The sequence below is a fragment of the Homo sapiens genome, chromosome 1, assembly GCF_000001405.40.
Source record: "Homo sapiens chromosome 1, GRCh38.p14 Primary Assembly".
NCBI classification, from domain to species: Eukaryota; Metazoa; Chordata; class Mammalia; order Primates; family Hominidae; genus Homo; species Homo sapiens.
The window spans coordinates 54,320,615-54,345,844 of record NC_000001.11 but is presented as its reverse complement, the minus strand read 5'-3'; the positions used below and the strand labels follow the sequence as shown (position 1 = coordinate 54,345,844).

General features: G+C 50.2%; 1 protein-coding gene across 17 annotated transcripts in view, besides 6 other annotated features; it reads left to right on the top strand.

Annotated features, from left to right (window-relative positions):
* SSBP3 (single stranded DNA binding protein 3) overlaps positions 1-25,230 on the top strand; it is a 188,059-nt gene that overhangs the window by 67,646 nt on the left and 95,183 nt on the right. The window contains exon 5 of one of the 17 annotated variants that reach the window (NM_001394367.1): positions 6,692-6,859. The exons of 15 other annotated variants lie outside the window; for them this stretch is intronic. The gene's annotated coding sequence lies outside the window, so the exon portion shown is untranslated. Of the gene's footprint in view, positions 1-6,691; positions 6,860-9,964; positions 10,049-25,230 lie in introns of those variants that run through there. One more of the 17 variants, XM_017000898.3, reaches the window with a different exon arrangement.
* Positions 2,293-2,814: an enhancer, noted in NCBI's record as "H3K27ac-H3K4me1 hESC enhancer chr1:54808704-54809225 (GRCh37/hg19 assembly coordinates)". NCBI's record gives its function as "activates a minimal SCP1, AML or CMV promoter by ChIP-STARR-seq in naive and primed H9 embryonic stem cells {active_cell/tissue: H9 hESC(naive and primed)}" and the evidence as "EXISTENCE:reporter gene assay evidence [ECO:0000049][PMID:30033119]".
* Positions 8,192-8,815: an enhancer, noted in NCBI's record as "H3K4me1 hESC enhancer chr1:54802703-54803326 (GRCh37/hg19 assembly coordinates)". NCBI's record gives its function as "activates a minimal SCP1, AML or CMV promoter by ChIP-STARR-seq in naive H9 embryonic stem cells {active_cell/tissue: H9 hESC(naive)}" and the evidence as "EXISTENCE:reporter gene assay evidence [ECO:0000049][PMID:30033119]".
* Positions 13,487-14,024: an enhancer, noted in NCBI's record as "H3K27ac-H3K4me1 hESC enhancer chr1:54797494-54798031 (GRCh37/hg19 assembly coordinates)". NCBI's record gives its function as "activates a minimal SCP1, AML or CMV promoter by ChIP-STARR-seq in primed H9 embryonic stem cells {active_cell/tissue: H9 hESC(primed)}" and the evidence as "EXISTENCE:reporter gene assay evidence [ECO:0000049][PMID:30033119]".
* Positions 16,779-17,441: an enhancer, noted in NCBI's record as "H3K27ac-H3K4me1 hESC enhancer chr1:54794077-54794739 (GRCh37/hg19 assembly coordinates)". NCBI's record gives its function as "activates a minimal SCP1, AML or CMV promoter by ChIP-STARR-seq in naive H9 embryonic stem cells {active_cell/tissue: H9 hESC(naive)}" and the evidence as "EXISTENCE:reporter gene assay evidence [ECO:0000049][PMID:30033119]".
* Positions 16,779-17,447: a biological region, named in NCBI's record as "H3K27ac-H3K4me1 hESC enhancer GRCh37_chr1:54794077-54794739".
* Positions 17,249-17,447: a silencer, noted in NCBI's record as "fragment chr1:54794071-54794269 (GRCh37/hg19 assembly coordinates)". NCBI's record gives its function as "represses an EF-1alpha promoter that drives an FKBP-Casp9 reporter gene in an ReSE screen in phorbol 12-myristate 13-acetate-treated (for megakaryocytic differentiation) K562 erythroleukemia cells {active_cell/tissue: K562(+PMA)}" and the evidence as "EXISTENCE:reporter gene assay evidence [ECO:0000049][PMID:32094911]".

Genomic DNA, 25,230 nt, shown 5'->3' with positions numbered 1-25,230 from the left:
TGGTAGAGACAGGGTTTCACCGTGTTGCCCAGGCTGGTCTCAAACTCCTGAGCTCAGGCAATCTGCCCGCCTCAGCCTCCAGGATTACAGGTGTAAGCCACCGCGCCCAGCCTCAGTACAGTAATCTTCTGTTAGGAATCTGCTCTGTGCCATGGTCAGGGCTTGGTCAGGCACAGAGACTTTGCTTGGCGTTTGGGGTGAGACGCTAGTTACTTCTGTGGAAACCAAGGATTTTAAAGGAAATCTTAAAAGGAGATGTTCATGCAAGCACTTCAGAGAGGGCCTTTGAAATGCGGAAGGCTTTTCTTTTCTGCCCTATTACTTTTGAGGCCAGCTGGCTCAGGTGAGATTACTCTTCCTTCTCTCTGAAGGAAGGTGTGGGGAAAGGAGCTGGGACCATGGGCTTAGAGGTTCTTCCAGTGCCTTGGTCTTTTCCCTGGATGGGAGGGCTGAGACTCGGGTGGTTTTTAGAGTGCGGCTCTTGGTGTCCTCTCTTCCAGGCTGCCTTGGTAGCTGGGAACTGTTTTATTGGAAGGGCAAATATTGCGTAGTGTCAATAAGGATGTTTTTTATGGGGGCTCCTGTGTTTCTGCAGTGGATAAGCATGAAGAAGCCAAGTGTAAGTTAGTTTCTAACGGCTGGGTTCAGCCCTTTTTCTTCCCTTGCAGAAGTTTCCCATCCGAGCAGAGAGAACTGAGACTGAGCCTGCTGGCCACGCACGAGAACTCTTGTAACTTTCTAGTCTCCCCGTGTATCAGGAGAATTTCCGCACAGATGACAGGAGTGGAGTAGAAAGCATTTGTAGCCATTGTATTGGAGGAAACAAGTGTAATATAAATAGGAAGTCTGAATTATACGTCTCCTCAGTGCTGTGAGGAAAAACCACACGCACCAAATGCAATTTACAGCTGTACGCACGTGGACTAATGGGCACTGTCTGCCAGCGACGCGCTCAAGCAGTGGGAGACCTTGTTGTGTTAATTTCTTTCTTTTTAATTTGAGACAATGTCTTGCTGTATTGCCTAGGCTGGTCTCGAACTCCTGAGCTGAAGTGATCCTCCTGCTTTGGCCTCCCAAAGCATTGGGATTACAAGTGTGAACCACCCAACCTGAGAACCTGTTCTCTGTTGCTATCTCTCATCTCTTTGCTCCTTTCTTCCCACCCACAAAAACAGAAAAAAAGATTGATCGGATGTTTCCCCCAATTCTTTCCTCTCTTTACAAGGCCTTGCCTGTACTGACGACACCGAGTGTGTTAAGAGGTGATGGGATTAGCTGCCCCAGCAGTCATCACGGGGAAGCAGAGCCCATCTTTATGCCCCTAAATGAATCACCCACAGAAGTGTCTTGAACATATTCGAATCACCCCATTCTCTATTCCCAAAATGATACCTTTTCTGGGAGTGGCTTGAATCATTCATTCTCAAAAGGGGGCTTCAAGAGCCTACTTTGGGCAGAAGCACAAGTATTTATTATGCCAAGACTGTGTGCAGTGCATAGCTGTCTTTGTAAGTAGATTGGTTTTGTGTCTTCTTTCCAGTGGATGTATATGATATATGTTCACTGTGAAGGAAATTAGATAATAAACGTAAACAAAACTCTGGTAATTCCACTTCTCAAAGATTAATATTGTTCATATCCTGATTCATGTCTTGGTGTGACTTTTTTTTTCCTCAACGTTTCTCTGCCCTTACAAGCTCAAGTCCAGTAGGGTAATGTCAGTCCACTGGAGTGACTGAGCCCAGGTGTCTAATCAGGGGCACCTCTTGGCCATCATGCCCCGCACCCCCAGGTGCTACCTCAGTTGCCAGGTACTGAGCTTCCCACCATCTCTTCTTTTTCTCCTTCGGGTCTTCTTGGATCCCATGGAAGTACAGACTACTCTTCCTCAGTTTCTTGAGTTGCATGTCCTCTTCTAAAATTCCGGAACCTGTGTTAACACACTTCCCTGCTAGTGGCTCTCCTAGCCCCTTCTCCTGGTCCAAAGCTTTTTGTGATTGATGTTGCCAAGAACCAATGTCTTTCCTTTGGGTAGACGGGGTGGGGTGTAATCCTTGCTCCAGATCCTAGAGTTCAGGACTGCTGTGCCAGGGTGACCTTATGTGTGTCAAGTAGATATAGTTATATGAAGCCATGGTTTGTAACCTTTATGGGGCCGTAGATACCTGGGAGACTGAAATTCATTGCCCTCCTCTCTGAACACTGCACATTCACATGTATTCAAATAATTGTGCGCCATAAGGCCAGGGGTTGGGGTTTGCAAACCCTCTGAAGCCCATCCCTGATCCCCTTCAGAGGCAGACCTGCTCCCCTGCCACTGGGTGGCCTGGACAGCTGGCATGGCCTCTTAGTGTCCGTTTTACCTTCAGTAGGATAGCTACAGTGATAGTCACCGTGTGGTTTGATTATAGCAGCAGTTCATGTCTACTGAGCTCTGATGTTGTTCACCCAGTCCCCACCCTGGCCCCATGAGGGGAAGGTACTACCACCCCTGTTCACAGATGAGCAAAGTGAAGCTCAGAGAGATGAAGTGACTTGTCCAGGGCCGTACAGTTAGATCCAGGATGGGGACCTAGGCAGGGTGGCTTCAGAACACATGCCAAACACCTGACACGCAGCGAGGAATGTATCACGTGTTCAATACATAAATGGTAGTAGCAATATGAAAAGCGGCAGAGGGTTAGGGCACAGCCTCCCCTCTTCCCCCCACCTGTCCTAAGTATCCCCCTGGTACAGGATCCGGGCTATGGAGCTCGCAGGCGGGTGGAGGCGAGCGCAGATCCGCCAATCCTGGGAAATGTGTAAAATCCTGTTCCTGAAAACCGGCCGGGTTCTCAAAGTGTCCCGGCTGGCGTGTTTTGCTAGTCACGAAACATGATCCATACGCTGTATTTTAGGACTCCCCATCTGTCGGCATCGGGGAGCGTTTTCCCTTGAGGAAGCTCAAAGCGTGTCAGCTCACTGGGAGGGGAGGCAGCAGAAGGGTCTGTGATAACAGAGTGGATCCAGAGGGCTGGGGTGTGGGAGACTCGGGGAAGGGTCCTGCCCAGGGTGTGCCAGGTGCCTTTCCGCATGACCTCACATAATTTTTACACAGATCCCCACGTTTTACTTAAGAATACTGAGGTTCAGGGAGGTTAGCTTCTTTCTTGTCCAAGGTTTCAAGGCTGCTAAGAGGCTGAGCAGCAGAGATTGAACTTGGGTTTTTAGATTGCCCAGTGTTCTCTGCCTTCCCCCAGTCTGTCCCTTTTGTTCCTGGGCTTTACCACGGTAGGTGGTGAAGGACAGGGTGTGGGAGGCCTTGCCTGGGAATGGGAGGGGGTGGGGAGGGAAGGCATAAATGCCTGGCTCTCAGGCCCACTTTGCAGAGAGCCCACACCTGCCCTGGCCCCACCCACTGCTCTGGTCACTGCTGGTGGTAGAGGAAGAGCTAAGAGGGCTATTGATCCACCCATCTCCTCCCAGGGAGGGAGGGCCACACATTCAGGGCTTTCTTTTTAAAAATGCATTAACCTGACCGTAAGAAGGCCCTGGTTTAAAAACAAATAAAAATAAGAAGTGAAACAAGTGGGCGTGGGGGCAGGAGTGGAGCAAACCCTTTGGAAAATGGAAAGGGCATTTGAGGAGGGCACTTTGCGAAGTACCTTCCAGTTCCAGACCTGGATGCCTGGACTCTGCAGCCTGGGCTGCGCTGCTTTCCTGTGCCTTGGGCCATCAGTACCTCTCCTGGTGCTCTCCGCAGGGAAACTTTGCCCAGATCCAGACATTCCAGGAAATCCCTCTGCGCGTGGCCTTACACAGTGTGGTGTCAGTCCGCATTTTGAAAGCCTGCCTTCGTAGCCCTGACTTGGACAACTTTGCCCTCCAGCCTCCTCCCTCTTTGCCCTCCAGCCACATTGGGCTTCTTTTGGTTTCTCAGAAGTGCCAGGTACTGGCCTTTGCACATGCTGTTCCTTCTGCGTGGAAGGTGCTTCTCTCCCCCTCTCTCTCTCCCTGCTCTCCAGGTTAGTACCTGCTCATTTTTCAGACCTCAGCCTACAGGGTACTTCCTAGGGACCCTGTCCGGCCCGCTGGCTGGGTCAGGCCTCCTGTCATGTACCCACTTGGCTCCCAGGACTTCTTTTTTTTTTTTTCAATCATTATACTTTAAGTTTTAGGGTACATGTTTCCTCCACAACCATAATAAAGGAATTAACATATTTTACGGCAGGTAGCAATTAAGCTCTGGGAAGGTAAGGACTGGGCTATCCTCTTTACTGTCCTGTTCACTTTTGCCCTTGGTCATCCTTGCCCAGCACAGCACTTACTACCATGGGAGCTCAGTAAATCCTTGTGGAATGAATGGATGGCAGGTCGGCATCTATTCTCTTTGGCCCATGGATGCAGTTTGGGTGAAGGCAAGGAAATAAACATTATAATCAGAAATCACTGTAATTTTTTAAGGTTTCTCAAGGTATGGGCCCACTGTGAGGTCAGGATATGGCTTCAGAGTGGAGCCCCCAACACATTAAAGGGGAGACGTCTGGCCAGCAGTCCACAAGGCCAGGGTGCTTAGCAGCATCCCAGAACAGGCAGGGACCTTGAAAGGTCTCTGCCAACATGTTGTCTTGGTAGGTGGAAAGACGTGGAGCCTAGAGAACAGAAAGCACTTTGCCAAGACCACACAACAGTAGGGCCTTGGGAGACCTCTACTTGAGCCTCAGTTTAATTGCGGAAAGAGAGTTAATCCAGCACCAGGTGCCAGCCGGCTTACTATGCAGACATTGTTTCACTGGCCTGGAGAGCGACTCAGTTTGGCAGCACCGATTTACAGAGGAGGGAATGGAGGCTTGAGGAACTTAAGTTGCTGGTCTCAAAACACAGCAGAGGTGGGATTGAAATTCAGATGTTCCTGATTCCATAGCCTGGTTCTTTCCACTGCCCTGCTTTCCAGCAGGGTGGAGTGGAATGACAGCCTTGTTTCTTGGATTGGCTCTGGTGGGGACCTTCTGCCTCCTCTTAGCCAGTGGGGCTGTACCTACTTGTAGGAGCCTGCAGCCCTCTGGGCTGGTATGGGAGTGTCCTGGGTGTTCATGGAGTCCATTTTTTCTCCCCAACCTTGTTTTACGTCGTTTCTGTCTCCTGCCTCTCCACCTCTGAAAGAACCTCAGAAATTCCTTTGTCCCCTTATCAGTCATTTCCCTGGGAAGCCACTGAGGATCCTGGAAAGGTACCGAGGGTGATGAAGCAAAATTTGCACCATTCCCAGAGTAACTTTCCATCATGCGTGGCTAAAAATAAAGTGTGTACTCATTTCTCCTTGCTGTGCGTGGACTTGCTTTTGGGGTTTCACGGGAGCCACTTGGCCCTTTTGTCCCTCCCTCCCTGCCACCCCTGGACAGGCATATGCCCACAACTTGGGGAGATGGGTGGGCTTGAAGCTGCTCACATCTCTGGAGAGCAGAACCCCTGAGCCTCTACAAGGAAGCACCTCTGGCTCTCAATGGCAGCAAACACCACATTGGTGGGTTGGCACTTTGGCATATGCGGGGATACCGACTCCCTTTGCAAATATTACTGCAGCCGAAAAGAGACAAGCTACCTTTAGAGGACTTTCTTTGTGCAGGGTGTTTCTTTTTGATATCTGGAATGCACAGAGGCAAGAGAGATAAAATTAATTTGTTCAATTAATTTTGTAAATATTGACTGAACCAAAGTTTTATGCCAAGTCACATGTCAGGGACCTGAGAGCTTACCAAAAAGCAAATGCCTTCCTTGAAGGCGCTTATCCTCTAGGTGGGGGAAGAAAGGTGTGTTAAGAAAGAAGTAGAGCCAGAGAAGCATGGGGTCCTGCTCCTACCCCACCCTCCCTTCCAGCATTAGTATATGATGCTGAAGTTTATGTTTGACCTTTCCGCCTTTCCCCTTTCGTTCTTTCTTTTCTTTCTTTCTTTGATGGAGTTTTGCTTTTTTGCCCGTGCTGGAGTGAAGTGGCACGATCTCAGCTCACTGCAACCTCCGCCCCTTTGGTTCAAGCAATTCTCCTACCCTCAGCCTCCCAAGTAGCTGGAATTACAGGCGCCCGCCAACATGCCCGGCTAATTTTTGTATTTTTAGTAGAGATGGGGTTTCGCCATCTTGGCCAGGCTGGTCTCGAACTCCTGACCTCAGGTGAACTACCTGCCTCAGCCTCCCAAAGTGCTAGGATTATAGGTGTGAGCCACCATGCCCGGCTGATCTTTCCCCTTTCTTAAGGCACTAGAGATTCCCCTCTCCTGCAATGATGTTTTTTTTTTTAGTGGTTACTATGTGCTAGGGCTAGGCTAGTATTTTACTCGCATTTATTTCATGAACTCCGCAAGAGCCTGTGAAGTAATTACTGCTATCATTCCTGTTTTCTGGTTGATGAAACTGAGGCCCAAGGCCCCATAGCTAAAATGTTGCAGACAGGATTCAAATCTAAGCAGATTAATTTCAGAGCTCACGCTTCTAACCATTAGCTGTATAGACACATCCACACTGAGAATGTGTGTCTGCCAAGAATCTGCTATCTGTCCAGCATCAATTATCCTCAATAAGTGCTTTCTCTTTAAAAATCTTAACTATGCTTTCCATTTAATCCTTAACATTCCTAGTAACCCATGGGATAAGATAAGACCCCCTTCTCCCCCATTTCCTATTCTTTTTCTTTTTCTTTTTTTTTCTGTTACAGATTGCACCAAATGGTGATAGGTGAAGGGTCTCTGGAGAGGGCAGGATACTTTGGAGGCTGGAATTGAACCATGTTGTCTTAATCCAGAGCCTGTGGGAGAGAGAAGGCCCATGAAAGCACTCTGCAGACTGTAAAGTGCTACATGAAATAAAAGGCATGTGAGAAAAGGTGTGTGTTTAGAAGACTAGCTTTAACTTGGACCTCGTGCATCCTATTTGGGGATTTCTTGCACCGTCGTCATGATCTGGTTTCAGGTACCTGTGAAAAATTATGGTAATTAAAGTATAATTTAGAATACCCTGTTGGCTCACAGCAGCTGGTCCAGATGTAGGAGGCTGGGGCTGTTTGTTAGGGGTGTCACTCTCTTCTGCCCTTTGTGTTGTTGGGGAGAAGGGTGGGGGCAAAGAGATACAGGAGCTATTTTTACGTTGTTCACGTCATATTCAGAATTACTGGATGCTTGTGGTTGGGTCCCTGTTTAGCCTCGGCTGGGAAGAGAGAACTCCCTTGGCTGCCTGGGTATGTATGGAAACTTGAGCTCATACCCTTTAGTATATATATTGCCGTAAAGGCAAATGGACGCAGAGTGACCGGACAGTTACCCTGAATAGTTGGCTGAGATTTTCCATTCTCTTCAGAATGCTTCTAGCGGGTGGAGAAAGTGGGGTTAGGGGTCGGGAGTGAGAGGGCGGGAAGCATAGGCGGGCAGCCATGTGCTCATCACTTTGGTTATTTATTCAACAGATGGTTTTTCAGTGTGAGATACATGCTAGATCTTTTCCCAGGTATTTGCAAAGTAAAGTAGAATAAGGTATTGTCCCTCAAGGATTTTACAGTCTAGTTGGGGAAATGGAAAAATAAACATTCGCTTTAGCATATGCAAGGCAAGCATATCAGCCCGCCCTGCCGTAGGTGCCGGCTATGCAGCCCCATTGCAGTAGGGGCACCGAGGCTGTGAACACAGGAGAGGGACACCTGGACCACAGGGGCAGTCACAGGCAACTTCCTGGAGCAGGCAGTGAGTGCAGAAGCTGGCTTCACAAACTGGAGAAGCACTTCCGGTTTAGTTGCTGTTGAGTGTAATATACACACATGATGTCATGGATGGTTACAATCATTATATCTCATTTTATTTCTCAGTCGGCCTGGGACTTTATTCTCATTATTTTTCAAAAATAAATTAAAAGATAGAGATGGGGGTCTCATTATGTTGTCCAGGTTGGTCTTGAACTACTGGGCTCAAGTGATCCCCCTGCCTTGGCCTCCCAGAGTTTTGGGGTTACAGACGTGAGCCACCATGCTCAGCCAGATTTTATTTTTTATGCCCAAAAAACTCACTGTCTTCAAAAAGTTTGAGGAGGCCGGGCATGGTGGCCCACGCCTATCATCCCAGCCCTTTGGGAGGCCAAGGCAGGTGATCACCTGAGGTCAGGAGTTCAAGACCAGCCTGGCCAACATGGTGAAACTCTGTCTCTACTAAAAATACAAAAATTAGTCGGGTGTGGTGGTGGATGCCTGTAGTCCCAGCTACTCATGAGGCAAGGGAATCGCTGGAACCCGGGAGACGGAGGGAGGTTGCAGTGAGCGGAGATGGTGCCACTGCACTCCAGCCTGGGCAACAGACTGAGACTCCATCTCAAAAAAAAAAAAAAAAAAAAAAAAAAAAAAGCTTGAGGAAAACAAAATGCTTTGGTTCAGCCAACCTTTTGCTGCTTGAAGTCAGAGACTGGAGCGAGAACAGCCTCAGCAGCACAAAGCCTGCCCTAAGATCCCTGCGCCTCTTCCTTGAGAGGGCAGGCCAGGGTGGGTTATTGCAAAGCAAGGGTTAAACCAGCTTCTGCAACACCAGGTCCTGGCCTGGCTCATGCACTGTGCCACCTGAGTGTGTGTGAGGCTGGGATGGTCATGAGGCCTGCCTGTGTGCCCTGTGAACCGTTGGGGTGGGTGGAGGTGTGTGGCCAGAGTGAAGAGGTTGCTGGCCGATTCCACTGTGAAGGTCAACTGGGGAGCCAGTAACTGTCACAAAGTGGAAGGAAGAGAAGACAGCGGAAGCCCAGAGAAGCAGTGTGTCTCACCTGCGGCAGCGCACTTTGCTTGGTTGGCTTGGGGCAGAGGCTGACGTTGAGAGCTGTCAAGATACCAGTTGCACATGCTTTCCCCCTCCACCTCTGTGTGCATTCCTCCATCCAGAGTAGATTCTGCGCGGGACCTCCCCTCTGTCACACCCTGGGCATGATGTTGAGGAAGCCAGTGAATTGGGCTCAGCCCTGTCCTTGGGGAGCTGGCTATTCAGGGTGGTTACCACGCACGTGGCTGAGGGGCCTGACCTAACGTGTGCCTTCTGGGACCCTCTGCATATAGCTCGAGTGTCCCCAGCATCCTTGTGAGCCACATGCTGATGCTGCAGCACGCCAAAGCCCTGTCCTTGGTGTGGGATTATTTGCAGTTAGTATTCCAAATGTCAAGTTCCCCTTGACTTGCGCTGAGCAGACAAAACAAAATGGCAGACAGATTAGAAGAGGCTTGAGAAGCCTTTTAGGATTTGAAAACCTTACTCTGTTGACTTTGAAAAGCTGCTGAACCAGGCCCATCTGTACAGGGCCTGGGGGCATCTGCTTGGAGCCCATTGGCTCCGTGGGCTTGGGAGGCTCTGGACAGTGCTGGCTCTCCCCTCCCCACCTGCGTGTGCATGGGAGCCAGGGATGCTCACCGAGAATGGGCAGGAATTGAATGCAGTCCCTCCCAATTAGTGTTGTGAGGGAAGGAGAAAAGGAGGGAAGGAGGAGAGGCAGTCGGGGGCTGGGGCCTCTGAGGGCTTCAGGAAGATTTCCGGTGAGTCCCCCAACGTGGGGGGCCATGTTAGTCAGCATCCATTTAATCCCATCTCATATTTGCCCTGCTTACTGCAGAGACCCAGTGGGTAAAAGGAAACAGGATAGCCCACTGGATTATAGTCTTTCTGGAATGGATAGTTAGAAGTTTAAGAAGTTATGCCCATCAGAGGTACAGAAGTCCCTGGCTAAGAATCCAGAGTGCCAGTGCTAGAAGAACTTTAGAGATGGTTCTGTTTATTCCCTTCTTTCTGCAGATGTAGTAGCTGAAGCTCAGAGAGGTTAAGTAATCGGTCGAAGCCACACAGGAAGCGGTAAAGCTGGAATTGGCGCCCATCTCTCTGGCTCCAGTGCCCATGCTTGTCCTGTGACATCATCTTGGCTCCTGCTCTTAATCCTCCCTTGCGAGACTTATTTCTCCTGCCCTTCCCCCAGCTACTTCCTTTTCCTGCCTGGATTCCCCAGGAATTCCTCTGCGTTGCTGCCTTGTCCAGCCTGGGAGAAGCGACAAGAGCTGACCATTTGAGTGAGAACCCAGCCCCTTGCTGTTTCTCTGACACCTTCCAGGGATCAGAGTGCTTGTCTTACGGGATTGTGCGTGCCTCCCTGGCTCCTGAGGACAGGCAGAAATGAGCCTTGCGCCTTTTTGGGCCTCTCGGTCTCAGGGAGGTTTCCTTGAATCGATGTGTTTGGGCACCGGGGAGATAGACTTTAAATGTTGTGAAACTCTGGGGCCCATGGCAGCCTGTGGTAAGTCTGGCCGGACACATGATCTTCAGCCCTAGCCTTAAATCAGCCTCTGTCTCCTGCTGTCTCTGCCAGCCATGCAGGGCAGATTGCATGAGGGTTCTTGACATGGATCACAGTTGCCGGGGCCCAGAGTCTGGAAGGTGGTTTTTGTCTCTTGTCTCCTTTTTCTTTGCACACTTATGCACAAGTGCCTTTTGTTCCCAGAAATGCAGCTTTCTCAGTCCCCATCCTAGAAACATTGTCGGAATGTAATAAATCTGATTCTGTTTATGTTGAAGAAATGAAACATATTGCTCTCCAAGGAGGAATGCAGCGGAGGCCTTGAACAGGGCTATGTTTATGACAACAGTTTGCACATGTGGCTTTATTTTTGAAAGCGTAGTGCTTTGCCCTTCTTGATGGGATTCTGGTAACAAGAGCTGATTCTTGTGTCCGGGTGTTGGGCAAACAAAGGGCAGAGCTGGCTGAGGCCCTCACAGCTGTGGCTGTCACCTTAGTTCTGAGAGCCTGGCTCCTCTAGGCCCTTGTCCTTTCCTGGGGGTTGCAGCTCTTCCCGGGGCAGTGCCTCTGTGCTGCTTGAGTCAGAGCTTATTAGTTCAGCCTCCTATTCCCATTTCCAGGTCCAAAACAACAGGATGAAATTTAATAGGCATAAATGTAAAGTCCTACAATGTGGGTTCAAAAAAATCAACTTCACAGGCACAGGATGAAGAAGATTCATTTGAACGGCAAGTGAGAAAGTGGCCCTTGAATGTAGCTGCCAGTCGGCTCTGTGTGGCAGCAGTTGGCCATCACTGAAAGAGAGTAATACAGGCTCACTGCACAGGTATCATGTCCGCAAGGAGAAAGATGATGTTGTTATTGTTAATAATTCATCCTAATAGCTAGGTACTTTACATGCATTATTCTTCCATTCTTAAAACCATCCTTTGAGGTAGGTCATATGATCCTCCTATTTTGGAAGAGGAGACCCTGGCTTGGAGAGGTTAAGTTACTTGACCAATGTTAAACTGCAAGAAAGTGGCGGGACCAACTGTAATCCAGGTCAGACTCAGAGCCTGTGCCATTTGGAGCTAATGAGTGGGTCCGTAGATGGTAGAGATTTGGAATGGAGAAACACTGAAGGAAATGACAGCATTTAGCTTGCTGGCAGAGTCTTTATAACATCTGACTTGTATTTTATTTGTTTATTTTTGAAATTTATTTATTTATTTATTTATTGAGAGGGAGTCTTGCTCTGTTGCCCAGGCTGGAGTGCAGTGGCCCAATCTCAGCTCACTTCAACCTCCGCCTCCCGGGTTCAAGTGATTCTCCTGCCTCAGCCTCCTGAGTAGCTGGAACTACAGGCACGCACCACCACGCCCAGCTAATTTTTGTATTTTTAGTAGAGACAGGGTTTCACCATGTTGGCCAGGATGGTCTCAATAGCTTGACCTCGTGATCCGCCCGCCTCGGCCTCCCAAAGTGCTGGGATTATGGGCATAAGCCACCACGCCAGGCCTATTTTATTTATTTTTGAGAGAGGGTCTTGCTCTGTCTCCCAAGCTGGAGTGCAGTGGTATGATTAGAACTCACTGCAGCCTCAAACTCCTGGGCTCAAGTGATCCTTCCATCTCAGTCTCTGAGTAGCAGACAACACATCACCATGCCTGCCTAGTTTTAAAATACTTTATATAGATAGGATCTTGCTTTGTTGCCCAGGCTGGTCTCAAACTCCTGGGCTCAGGTGATCCTCTTGCCTCAGCTGCCGTAGAAGCTGGGATTACAGGTGCAAGGCTCTGTGCCTGGCTACATTTGACTTTTATATGGCCCTCACTGTGTACCAGGCACCATTCTAAACAGTTACATGTATCACCTCCATTATTATCTCTGTTTTACAGATGAGAAAACTGAGACACAGAGAGGGTAAGTCAGTTGCCCAAGATGATACAGCTTATACGTGGCAGAGCTGGGATTTAAACCCAGATAGCCTGTCTTGGAGTTCTTTGATTTTGGTTTTGTTATGTAGAAACGGGGTCTCACTATGTTCCCTCAGCCTCCCAAAGTGCTGGGATTTACAGGCGTGGGCCACCATGCCTGGCCTGTTGAAGTTTTTAATTACCAGGCCATGCAGCCTTACGGAGAGTCAGGTGGGTTGGGGTGGTGAGAAATCTGACGGTGTTTTTTGGCAGGATGATGGCTGTCCTGTTTGGATCCAGGGCAGAGCTACAGCCTGAGCATGGCTGTATAAATGGGAGAGGCATCTGCTCTCCTGACTCTGCACACCAAATGGCCAGGAATAGGCAGAGGAGGCGGGAGGATGCAGGAGACCATCTTCTCTCCCGAGAGTCTATGAGGTTATGAAAATCCTTTCCGTATTCTGTGGGGTATGCAAGGTCTCCAGGCACACCCACGTAGCTGGCTGGCTCCCAGGGCTTTGTTGAGGACAAGGTCAGCTTTCCTGGACATTCCCCACCCCCAAGCAGTGGTGTGTTCAGTGGTGATGGTCCCTGCGGACCACAGGAGGGGAAGTGACCAGGTGTTTGCCAGGTCCAGCCTGGCCCTATTAGGAAGCCCTGGTTGTCAAGCGCAGCAGAACTGCTGACAGTGACACAGGGGAACAATGCTGCGTGGGAGGAGGCGCACGCGTGTGTGTGTGCTCGCGCGTGTGTGTGCGTGCATGTTTGCTTACTCCCCTCCTGACCCGAGTGCCAGCAGTGACACACTTTACTTGTCCCCTCTGGTCCCCTGTGGGCACTGAATCTGACTCTCTGATGCGCTTGACGCCCTCTCAGGGCCCTTGTTGAGTGGCAGCTTTGGCTGTGGGACAAGGGAGCAAGTCCGTTTTTTTTATCTTTCTCCCTAAGCCAGGGCAGACAGAGGGATGCCTTAGGCTTATGTGGCCTTTTTGGAGCTCTTGTCAAGGACCCCTGGGAGCGTGTCACTTCCTTGGCTCTGGTTAGGGAGTGGAGGCACAGGAAGGTGAAGTGACTTCTTAGAGGCCACATAGCTAGCAAATGTGGGCCAAAGCTATAGTCAGGCCCTAGTGACTGGGGCCAGGGGGGTTTGGAAAGATGATCTCTTCTGCCCAGCCCTTTCATTTACAGATGAAACAATGCAGCCAGATGGGCAGCTTGACCTGGCTGAGGCATTCAAGGTGGCTGGGACTAGACTCAGGTCTCCTGGCTCCAGATCCCACATCATCCTCTCCACACTCCCACCCCTCCCAGCAGCTCCCTGCTCCACTTTTAGTTTCCTTGCATCTCACTTACTGTTGCTGCCTCTCCTGCAGGGCTGATGCGTGTATCTGTGACTGCCATGTGGGAGTCCTTTCACCTACTGCTCCTGCCACCTTCCTTGGTTGCCAGTATCTGATTATTCTATTTGCCACCCCCCTTGCCTCCTGGGAGCTAATAGCAACAGCTGGAACTGAGGGGAAGGCTCACAGGCTTTGGCTAGGCAGCCTGGAATCCACTCTCAGCCCTTCACTTAGGAGCTGTGCGACCTTGGGCAAGTCCTTCAACCTTTCTGAGCCCTGGTTTCTCATCTGGGAGATAAGATGATTCGGACTTGATAACCTCCAGTGACCTTGCAGCCCTGCACAGGTCTGTGGCTGGTGATTTTCATGAAAGGGAGCAAGAGCCACACTGACCTGTTGTTGGAAGCTGTTGGGAAGGGCAGATGACATGGACTGGTGGGAAAGACCCTGTGTTAGGAGGCTCAGGCATGCATTTCCAGCTCTGCCTTCACCAGAGAACAGTTGCCTTGGCTGTGGGTGCTGGCGGGCAGTTGGGGCAAGGCACCACCCTCCTTGTTGCTTCTCTGCCACTTCCTTTGCACCAATGCTGGGGGCACAGACATTGCTCTTCCTTTTTGGTGACCATCCAGGGTAGAGAAGTTGCTGGTGAGTGTGTGAGCAGCAGGCTTCTCCAGCTGACCAGCGTGTTGCAGGGCAGGAGTGATAGCCCGGCACAGGCAAATGCCAAATCCTGTGTCACGTAAGAGGAACTCCAGCTCTGTTATTGGGCCTGTGAGATCCTATGCACAGTAGATCACAGGTGTGGTGTGGAGGGAGAGGCATCAGAGCAGAACCAGAAAACTCTCTTTGTCACTGTCTTCAGTCTTGCTATTGTGTTGGCTGTATACATGGTTTTCATTCTTGGGTTTTTGTCTTGGCTGTGAAGTGGCACGATTTTCTGAACTAATCCTGTTTCATGTAACCCGAACCCAAGTATCTGGACGTGAAGGGCGAGCTTTTTCTTCCTCTTCCTTAACCAAGGATATCCGAGACTGTAGCATCTGGAAGTGGTTGGGCATCTGGTCTGAGGGAGTGTGTGTGTGCATGCACACACTTCTGTAATACTGAGTGACTGTGTCCAGACAATGCGCCTTTGTCTCTCCAGCCAGGCATATACCTGTGCTTCTTTCTATATAGAGGACGTTACATGCGGAGGTTATTATATCGGGGCATATGTTTATGTGGCATACACATGTATAAACCTTTATTTCTACTTAGAAGAAGGAAATTTTGAAGGGCTTTCTGTGTACTAAAGTGTTTGCAATGATGGATGTTGATGTATTTTTCTTTACAAAATGTAATAAGCCATTTAACAGTGCCTTCAGTGGCTGTCATTAGCCATTTCTTCATTACTTCCAGGCTCTGCCGAATCATGCATTGGGGGATCCCTGCTCCCTGGCACCAGGAGCAGTGATCTGCACCCACGGTGGTGTGCTCAGGAGGTAGCACGGACTTCAGGGTGGCCTGCGTTGGCGATCTGTTAAGGGTGTCTCTTTGCTGCCTGGTTTTGACGTGGGTGGGATCCTGTCCTGGGAGATTTCTGGGCTGGTTGTGTCCTTGAGAGTTAGGCTCTGAAAGGGATTTTTTTTTGACTGCACAAGGTTGGAGCGTTGAGATTTGGGCTGTGTCAGCAGGTAGAGCCCGTGTCCTCACCTTGCAGGTGACAGGCAGACAGTGCTGGGTACCTCCATCAGAGGGATGTGCATGAGGAACCTAGGGTGTACTGGTGGTGGGGAGGGACTCCTGTGAACAAAGCGGTCGCCCTTGCTCTGGTTTGCCCCCAGGGACTGCTAGGCGGTGGATTCATAGTAGAATTTTACACTCAATGCCAGAAAGAACTTGGTATAGCCATAAGGATGAATAAAATGGGAATGGATGGCCGTGGAGGTGTAGGGGGCCAGGCCAGGTGACTCCCTGGGCACAGTATTTGCTCCTCCCTGAACCACTACTTGAGCCTCTGTTAAGGGAAGCCATTCATGCCTCCCTCTTGGTCACCAGCAGTCCTCATGTGCCCGGAACCAGTGCCCTTTGGGCTGGTCCTCCCTCCTTGCTGGTGGTAATCACGTTGATTGATGTTTGCGTTTTTTTCAGTTTGGCCCAGATTTCCTTCTGGCTCAGGTTGATTTTCAGGCCTGCCTTCTCTGCTTTGGGGGCTGCCTGTGCGGGGGATCCATGCAGGTCCGTTTTGTTCTTGGGCTCAAGGCTCTTGTGTGTATGTATTAGGGGACCATATAATATCCCAACCAGGATACTTTTATAACCAGGCAGTGCTATTCATCAGTATGGTGGGGCGCCAGGTGTGAACGTGCAAAGTCTGGGATGCGTGGTCTCCTTGGTGTTATGTTGGAAGCTCTCCTTCCAGCTACTGGGTATTGACCAAAATCTACCCAAAAGCAGTCCAGTGTTCCTCTCCCCTCCGTACTCCAGCCCTAGCAGCCCAAGATGAATTGTGGGGTGAGAAGGACAGCCAACCAGGCTTGTCCCCTCCCCCATTTCTCAGGGAGGGGAGCGGCTGGGCCGCTGTTTTGTATTGAACATTTGCTGCCATGGCATCCAGATTCCCAAGAAGCTGGGGGCTCCCTGCCTGTGATTGTGTAACTTGGAACAGTTGATGGGGAGGGAGATCCCTGAATTAGATCAGGAAAATGTCCTTTTCTGGTGACCCTTGCAGAGCCTATAGTCTCCTTGAGGCTTGCTCACCTCCCCTGTAGCCTGGGGCCCTGGACCAAGCACAGGCAGGTGGCAGAGGCCTGACAGTGGGCCCTCTTGTTGTTGCAAGCCCCAGCCTGGCAGGCCATCCTGCCTCCTCCCAGTACACAATCAGTATTGATTGTGCAGGAGGCTGGGACTGTCACATGCAGTAATCCTTGCTTCACAGCAGGCATGCTCCTTGAAGGAAGAAAGGAAGAGGTTTTGTCCCTGATCTAACATGCCTTTAAAAATGCACCTTGATTTAAGATTCAGCTTTTTGCAGCATATTTTAAAATGTCAGAAAGATAAATGTGCAGCCTTCTTAATGTGTCTGCCTTGAACAGCCCTTTAAAAAAAGTATATCATTCATCCTCAGGGTCACAGGCTGTTTGCCTCCCTCCCTGCCTTTGATGGTCTATCCACCTCTTCTATGAGCTGAGTTTGGGTGGGGGCAGGGGAATAGACTCAAACCCCCTTCCTTCCAGAAGTCCAGGAGATGCATTTCTTTTCTCTGTTTTGAGGCTAGTCAAGAAAGCCATACAGAGTTTCTAGAATATTATTTGGAACTTTGCAAAACAGGCAGGATCTAGGTACCCTTCAGGGGCATCCTTCTCATTTCCCACAAAAACCCACTAGCCAGAGACGAAGAGGAGGAGAATGCACACGCCAGCCCCTGCCCTCCTGGACAGGCAAGCACTGGCTCCCCGTTCCACCGTCATGTGGAGGAAGTAGGGCCTGGTGCGTTCCTGATGCAGTGCCTGTGGCCAGAGCTTCATTTCCAAGGTTGGGGTAGTGGCCCCTTCTCAGCTTCTTTAAGGTCCCGGTAGGTATTGGGTTACAGGTAAGGGAGATGCCACTGGAGAGGGAATCAGTCTGTGGGGTTGTCATTGTGTGATGGCTTTTTATAAAGGCGCCTTGGCAACATGGCTGTAGCTGCTTCTCCCAGAAGGAACTGGAGGAACCCCAGCGTTTTTCAAGATGTGAGTGAAGATGTCAAAACACTGTTAGGCTGATTCAGGAACTCAGAAACTCTGGTGGACAAGGCAGCATGGAGCCTGAGCGAGAGCTGCTGGGATTGCTGGTGTGATGAGGCAGTCACACATGGTGAGGCCTGGGCTAGCCTCTGCAAGTATGTAGACAAGGACCTGGAGGCCCAGAGAGGGTGGTGACTTGGCCAAGGTCACACAGCAGATCAGCAGTAGAGCCAGGACCAGAGCCCTGCCAGGTAGTTCTTCTGACCAGAAGCTTTTGGTCACCTCAGCCTCCTGCCTCAGGTGGGTCGTGCTGGCGACTCAGCAGTCCTGATTTCAGCACATGAACACCTCGCTCAGGCAGGGTCGTGCGTGTGTTCCTTGTTGTGAACACACTGGACGATGTGGTCCTTGCCTCTGACTCATTGTTCGCTGCGGGCCCTGTTGCTTGCAAGGAGAGAGGATGGGAGATGAGGAGTGCCGCCCTGCATGTGATCTGCCTGGGTACGAGGTCAAGACGGCTGTGGAGTGACTCCAGGGTACAAGCCCTCATTCTCCCTCCCACTCCCTAGAGTCGCCCGTCCTCTTCCCTATCAACCATTTTGAGGATCATAACATTTATCATGAGCTTTATTATGGGAGACTCTTCTTCGTGTTTAAAAATAAACGCTGGCTTACGGAACTATATTTGGTATATGGAAGTCGTTTGCATGTAAATGTGCTTAAAGGACAACTGCTTTATTTAAGATGCAGAGTGAGCCCCAGCTAGAGCGTGCCTGGGATGGGGGAGGGGACAGGACCCAGGGGTCTGCCTGGCTCTGGACAGATGAGTGTAGCCCACAGTCCTGTTGAATCTGTTGTCCTTTTCCCTGGGGACAGTTGCAGAACAGGATAACTCGTACTTAAAAATTCATAGAAAATGTTTCTTATTATAACGTCATAATTGTTATGACTCAGAAAAGTAGAATTGCCTTTCCACTATGCCTGTCTGCCCTCACTTTTGTTGCCTACCGAGTCCCCAGCAGCAGCTGCAGAATCATTAAAAAAGAGAGAGAGAAAGGGAAAGAAAGAAAGAAATCCAGGGCGATGCTTTATTTATGTTAACGGCTACATTTGACTTGAAAATTCTGTCCCCTGAGCCTTGAGGTCAGCACATTACAGAGTGATTGATGGCTGTCAGGAGCAGGCAGGGCGGCAGATTGCAGAGGGGGAAGTGGACAGATGATGCCATGGCTTTCCCGGGGCTTAGCAGATCCCAGGCCTTGAAAGGAACGTGATGGAAAACAAAAGCAGATGGAGAACTCTGCCTTGGCCCTTACCTGTTTTTTTGGGGGGTTTTTTGTTGTTGTTCTTGTTGTTGTTTTCCTTCCTTCCTTCCTTCCTTCCTTCCTTCCTTCCTTCCTTCCTTCCTTCCTTTTCCCTCTCTTTCCTGTTGAGCATTAGGAAGCGGGAGAAGGGCATTCTGCACCCTCAGAGCACCCCAGAATGTGTCACTTTTGGGTGTGGCACTGGGGTAAGATCCTAGAGAGGCTGGGCCCAAGATGAGGCACCCCTAATCCCAAGTGCCTGAGTTACTGCTTAGAAACCAGGAGGCCCGGCTCTGCCCTGGCGTTGCCTGTCCTTGAAATCCCCAGAAACATCTTGGGCACCCCCCACCCACCACCACCACCACCTTCTCCTTGGCCCCGTTTCCTAGGTCCACAAACCAAACAGGAGGACCAACTCTGGGCTCTTGTAAATTGTTCCTGCCTTATGGCCTGCGCTACTTAGGATTATGTTTCCACAGGGCTTTCTGGCTAATCCTTGTGTATTTTCAGTGGTGGAAACAAATGGTATCAGACCCACAGGCCTGTTTACAGATGGGGAGACACGGAAATGATGGAAGAGCTTTGAATTTTAAACATTAGCTAATGAAATTGCAGACAAGGGCAATGGGTGGAACGGCCTGGGTATTCCCATGAAACAGTTATTAGAGTCAGAATGCTCTGGGGTCGGCCATGAGGGAGAAAGGCAGGCCTGGCTCGCGTGTGTGTGCCACAAACATTTATGGAGCCCTTTCCCAGTGCCAGGAGCTGCGTCAAGGAAGAGCTTTGAGTCCTGCCCAGGGTGTCCCAGCCTGGTGGCTAAATAGAATAAGCTTGGGGCAGAGAAGCAGCTTGACTGGCAGGACCTTTCTGCACAGAGGAGCTGGTATCTGCAGAGTTGGAGGAGATACCAAACCAGGCTTGGAAGGAAAAGGAGGCTGACCTGGCTGCAAAGAGGAAGGGATGCGGGAGGGTATTCCGGGCAGATGCTGGAGAAGCTGGAGGTGAGGCTGGAGTTCCGGTGTCCCCCGGAATGGGCATGACGGTGGGGGCTGGAATTCGTCATTTCCCCTGCTTCTGCCTCCCCCTCTTGTTGCTGCGCCTTGTGCAGTTGTGTCAGAGATGGGACTGGCTGTTCATTCATCCGCTAATTGTTTTGATAAGAGACTCTAATTACCCACTGCGATCATCAGATTACCCTGAGCTCCAGGAGGGAGATTTGAGAGTTTGAGCTGCGGCTGCTGCTGCCATCAGCACCGCCATCCCTGCTAAAAGGAACCTGCTCCTATACCTCGGCCCCTGTGCCTGCCTCTGGCCGGTGCTCACTAAGCCATCACATGAAGGTGTGACAGGCTGCTGGGTGGGGGGTGGCGGGGGGGAGCTGCCTGTGAAATCCACCCGAGAGTACAATCCCCTGATGTCAAGCAGGATTTTCCCTTTGATTATCTTTGCCACTGTGTTAAGTCCGCAGATAAGAGGTTTGGTTCTAGGGATTTCAAAATAAGGAGAGGAGTGTGGAGGAAACCAGAGAAAAACAGTAGCGCCTCTAATGAATTGACATCGGCAGTCGAGACAAATTCAAAATCCTTTTCGAACTGTTTGATTAAGTTCTACTTACATGTGATTTTAGTATAAAGAGAGCAATAGGCAAAAAAACAACCAGGAAGGCAGATTATAAATTAATCCAATAATTGAATCCCCCAGCAAAGGTAATGGGGAATGATGGTGTCGTAATCTGATACAGAATTTTACATCAGCAGGAGTTACAAAATAAGGGAGTATTTCATCTTGGGAGGGCTGATTGTGATTGGATGTATTGCATCTTAAAGCCTTGGCCCTTGGAAAGCTTTGGTATGGCATGTCTGACCTTTTTCCCACCTTCCACTCCTGTCTTCATTCATTCAGCCACGTCTGTAGATCCAGAAGAGCTGGTGAATCCCATGATGCTTGGGCCTAGAGAAGTAAGATTCTGTTCCTGCCTTTTCCTAGTGAGATCAGAGGCTCACAAATCATCTTGTTGGTTAACATGGTTCTCAGAGAAAGGGGCAGCTAGGCTGTGGGGTCTGGCTGGGATTTAGAGGAGTGGGCAGAAATGGAGCTACAATACCGAAAGGCACTGGGCGCTCAGTGCTGGAGTGACTCGTGCTGGGATGAGGTCCTGGGCCCAGATGCTCGGCTGCTCCATTTTTCCGTTTATAAAATGGAACTGCAGTAGATGATATCAAAGTTCCCTTTTGGCTCTACTCTCTTAGTTTGTTTATTCTTAGACCCCATTCTCCCGCCAAAGCAGAAAGCCAGAGAACATAGGTCCAGCTCTCTGCTCCCCAGTGCTGGCTGCTGCAGGCTGTGCCTTCTCCTCTTGGTAGAGCAGAGCGGCTTTCTGCCTGGCTCCCTCCCATTGTCTTCACATTTGGGGCTCAGCTAGCCGGGAAGTTTGGCAACATGTCAGGCCGTGTATCTTGAAAACCACCCTCCAGAAACCACCTCGTTTAGCAGATTTACCGACATATTGGACCTGCCTGTTCTCAGGGGCCAGCGTACTAAATCACAGCGGGGCCACTGGATGCCTTGACGCAGAACTTTTCAAAAAATTTCAAGCAGGATATATCACCACCCCATTAACTCCCTGCCATTAATCTACTCCTAAAAACCTGGAGTTTTCCCAAAAGGAACTGGAACGGGGTGAAAAACGGACCCATTTGGTAAATTCTGTAAATCAGGCTGGCCTTCTCTCCTCGGCCTCTCCAGCCTTGGTGATGGGTTGCTGCGTGGGAGGGTAGATCTGCAGCCTTCCAGGCTTTCGAGGGAGTGTCCCCAGGATGGATGTCAGTCTTAAGGGGCTGCTGTACTTTATCCTGCTCTGGCCTATGGGGTCACTGAGTGAAGTGTTCTGTAGGGGTGTGGGGGTGGGGACTGTCGTCAGGAAGAGCTGCAGAGAATGCAGCCGGCTTCTCGATGGCACAGAAGCCGAGCCTCATGCTGGGGCTGTGCCAAGGACTGTCTGGAAGGGACCAACCCCTTGCCTGACTTTTCTGATTGCCAAGAGGGATTTTGTTGTAAAGGGGCTTTGTCTGCAGCCCTGAAGACTGTCGAAAGAGTCCATCCCCACTTCTGATTTCTGTGGCCGGAAGGCTTTCTCCTTTTGGAAGAAGATCCTGTCCAGGAGCTGGTTGGAGCCTGACAAACCTGGGTTTGAAATGCCAGCATTCCTTGCTCACTAACCTCAGGAACGCAGGCAACACGCTTAACCTCTGGGCTCCTTAATTCCGCACCTATAAAATGGGGATAAAACACATTCTTCAAGGATGCTTGAGGATTAAATGAGATAATTCTTGTAAAATGCTTAGGATAATACTTAGTGCGATGCTGGCATTCTATAAATGATACTCAGTTAATCTTCTCTGGGGGGACACATAGGATACCTGCTGCATTCTGCTTGTACATCCTGCTCAGGTGGGCCTGTGCTAGCTTGAAAAAGGAAGACCGTCTTTTTTGCTAGTTCCTATCTCCCTCTACCACAACCCAGTCTTTGCAGCCTCACTTTTGGGTTAGAGTCAGACAGTCTCTGGGGCAGAGCCTTCCTCTGCTCCTTCTGGGTCAGTCCTTTCCACCTCCAGATAGGTGGGAATTCAGCTGTCATTGGAATCCAGGCTTTTGCAATCCAAGGCTGAGCTTTGCCCCCAAGCACCCGCATCCACCCACACATCTGCTGGCCTTCTCTCGGCCCTTCCTTCACTTGCCTGAAGGCAGATAGCGTGGTGAGGTGAGGCCAAGAGCAGTCCTTACCTGCCTGTTGGGACAGGGTCTGATGAGCAGGCCAGGACAGGAGGCTGGAGCAACACCTCCTCCCAGGAAGATGGGGAGCCTCCTTCCAGCAGGACGCCTGGCGTCCTGCCCTGCTGGAGGAACTGGTTTCCAGGGCCTGACTCCCAGCCCCACCTGCTGGAGGGGTCTTGGGATTCGAGAGGCCTGAGAGCAGAGATCTTGCCTCTGTTTCCTGGAGTAGTTTACTTTTCTCCCCACTTATGGTAAAAGTATCTGTTATCTTGTGCATCTTCTGGCCTTTACAACACTGATTAAGCCCTGGAAGCAGAATTTGGGGGCTTAAATTTTTTTTCTTTCCCCACTGAAGAGTAGTCAAATGCTCTGGGAGCTTCATTGACTTGCTTAAGGGCTGTCCATTGGTTCTGTGAGCTGGGAAGTGGGAGATTGAAGGGCCCTGTACCTCTCCTCACCCCAGGAAGTTCCAAATAACTCAAAAAGGTTCTTCTGCCTTGTCTTTGTTCTGGAAGTTTGGAGTCTCCTCCTGAGTTCCCTTGAAAATCATAGGTCAGAGTTCAGTGAACGAAACCCATGGAGTACGAGTTATTATTTGTCAGTTTTGTCCTGGGACAATTACGGCTTTTTATTCCCAGCCCCCCTGTAAGTGCCTGGGGCAGTTTGAGGGCAACCAGTGATTGTATGGGTTCCTGTTTTATGTTGGGTGCTGTGTTGGGACTTTCAAAGGCCACCTGGTAATGCCAGCTGACTTAACACCTGACGCATAAGTGGATGGATGGTTTTGCTTGAACCTAGGTTGGTTGGTTGAGGTGCCGGGGTTGGGGGGTAGGGAGACAGGTGAGTTGTTGCTTGGAGAGGAGAGAGTGGGTATTCCCTTTTTTTTTTTCCTTTTCTTTTGTCCTTCCTGCAGGGGAGGATCTTGCTTCCTACATCTCTTTAGCATACATAATGTAGATCCCATGTTCCTGCTTGACTTTGGGCATTTTCACATGGTATTTGATAGGTGTCATCTTGAGTTTATGTGGCCAGGTGCATTATCAGATGTGGCAGTAAGAATGAGCTATATCCTAGATCCCGGAGGGGATTGCCTCCTGGCCCAAGAACTCCCAAAAAGTTCTGATGTGTGGTGGGCACACATCAGAGAAGGCTAGCCATTGTCTGTGCTGGTGGCTATTGGCCATGGCTGTTCACCTCTCCTGCACCTCAACCCACTGAAGCCTCTGCTTCCCCGTGCTACAAAACTTCACCAGCAGTGCTGCGATGAATCTCTGATGCCTCAAATCCACAGGTGTCTTTAGTCCTTGTCAGCCCTGTTTACTGCCTGATTCTGTGTCTTCCTTTCTCCTGCCTGGTCAGCCTGTCCCAGCAGCCAGGAAGGGACAAGAGAAATTGTGGAGACTTGTGAGAAGCCAGATCCTTCTTGTACAGTGGTGTCATAAATGACATGGAAAGGCTGGAAGCGGGGCCACCACTGTGCCCCTCCCACTTCCCACCTGCAGCCTTTGAGGTCTGGTAGACCTATTCATTTTCCAGTCCTGAAGCTTTGGAAGGGCAGGGTTGAGCAGAGTGCATCCTATTTTCCAGCCCTTCTTCCAACCAGCTTTCAGTTTTTATCTCCAGGCAATCAAGCAGTACTCAAAACATCATGCCTCTACTCATGCTCACTGAACCTCCTTACTTTGTAGGCCAGTGGGCTGAGACCCCACCTCCTTCTCATGGGGGACATTCTATCTTGAGCCTGGTCGACTTCAGCTCCCTTTTCCTCATTCTGCTCTTAATTTCCAGAATAGCACATGGAAGACACTCCAGTATGTTTGCGTGAGTGATGCTAGTCGGTTGTCCTTTGAGGGCTTACCATCTGCAAGTCAGTGAGCTGAAGCTGTGCGTGCATTCTTCGTTTGACTTGCACGGGAACTCTAGGTTTCATATCGATTTCCCAGTTTTCCATGGAGAAAACCGAAGTGCAGTCAGGTTAAGGCCTTCCCAGGCCTCTGGCCTGAGAGTTGCCCTACTTGTTTGTGCAGACTCACCTAGAAGAGCCTTTGTTGCGTTTGTGGAATATTGAGGTAATGCAGTGAGAGCTTTCGGGATGGTAGCAGGGTGTGGTAAAAGGAGCCCTGGGACAGAAGCTAGGGATGGATACCACCCAGCCACTTGACCTCGGGCAAATGACAGCCCCACTCAAGTCCACAGTTTCTTCATCCAGAAACTGAGGGCACTGAGATGAATACAGCCTGCTGCCAGAGTTCTCTCTCTGAAACACATCTGGCCACGCTGCACCAGTGCCTGCAGTCTTGAGGGCATTCTCCTGTTCTTCAGGGTGAAGCCCGAGTTCCCTGGCTGGGCCCCCAAGGCCCTGTGGGTCAACGCCTTTGTCACAGCATCTCCTGTCTCTCCAGGGTCAGTGCCTTTGTCACAGCATCCTCTGTCTCTCCAGCATGAACAGAAGGGCTTCTTGGGAGTTCTTGGCTATACCATGTTCCCTTAGGCCACTGTGCCTTTGCCTGTGCATTTTCTTCTGCCTGACATGCCCCTTGCTGCTTTTGCTTGCTAGGGGGCAAGCTTCCCCTTGCAACTGAGCTCCAGGTTATTTTCCCAGCAAAGCTTTCCTGCCTCCCAGAGCGGAATAAACTACACCCTTTTTTTGTACTCTTGTTCATTCATTCCACAAATTCATTGGTTGAATGCGTACCGTATGCCAGGCACTGTTCTAGTTGCTGCAGTTTCCGAGAAAGCCCCAGAAGCTTCCGTGTGTGGATTGAAGCTATCTGCTTATCTGCTCTCCTTCTCTTTCTCCTGGTTTCCTTGAAGTCAAGGCCTGTGCCTCTGTGTCTGCCCCCAGTTCCTAGCACCTGGATGATGTTCAGCAGCTACTTCCTGACCTCCTTCCCACCTCTCAGGACTCTGGCATTAACTTAAAACTTTTCTGGTGGGC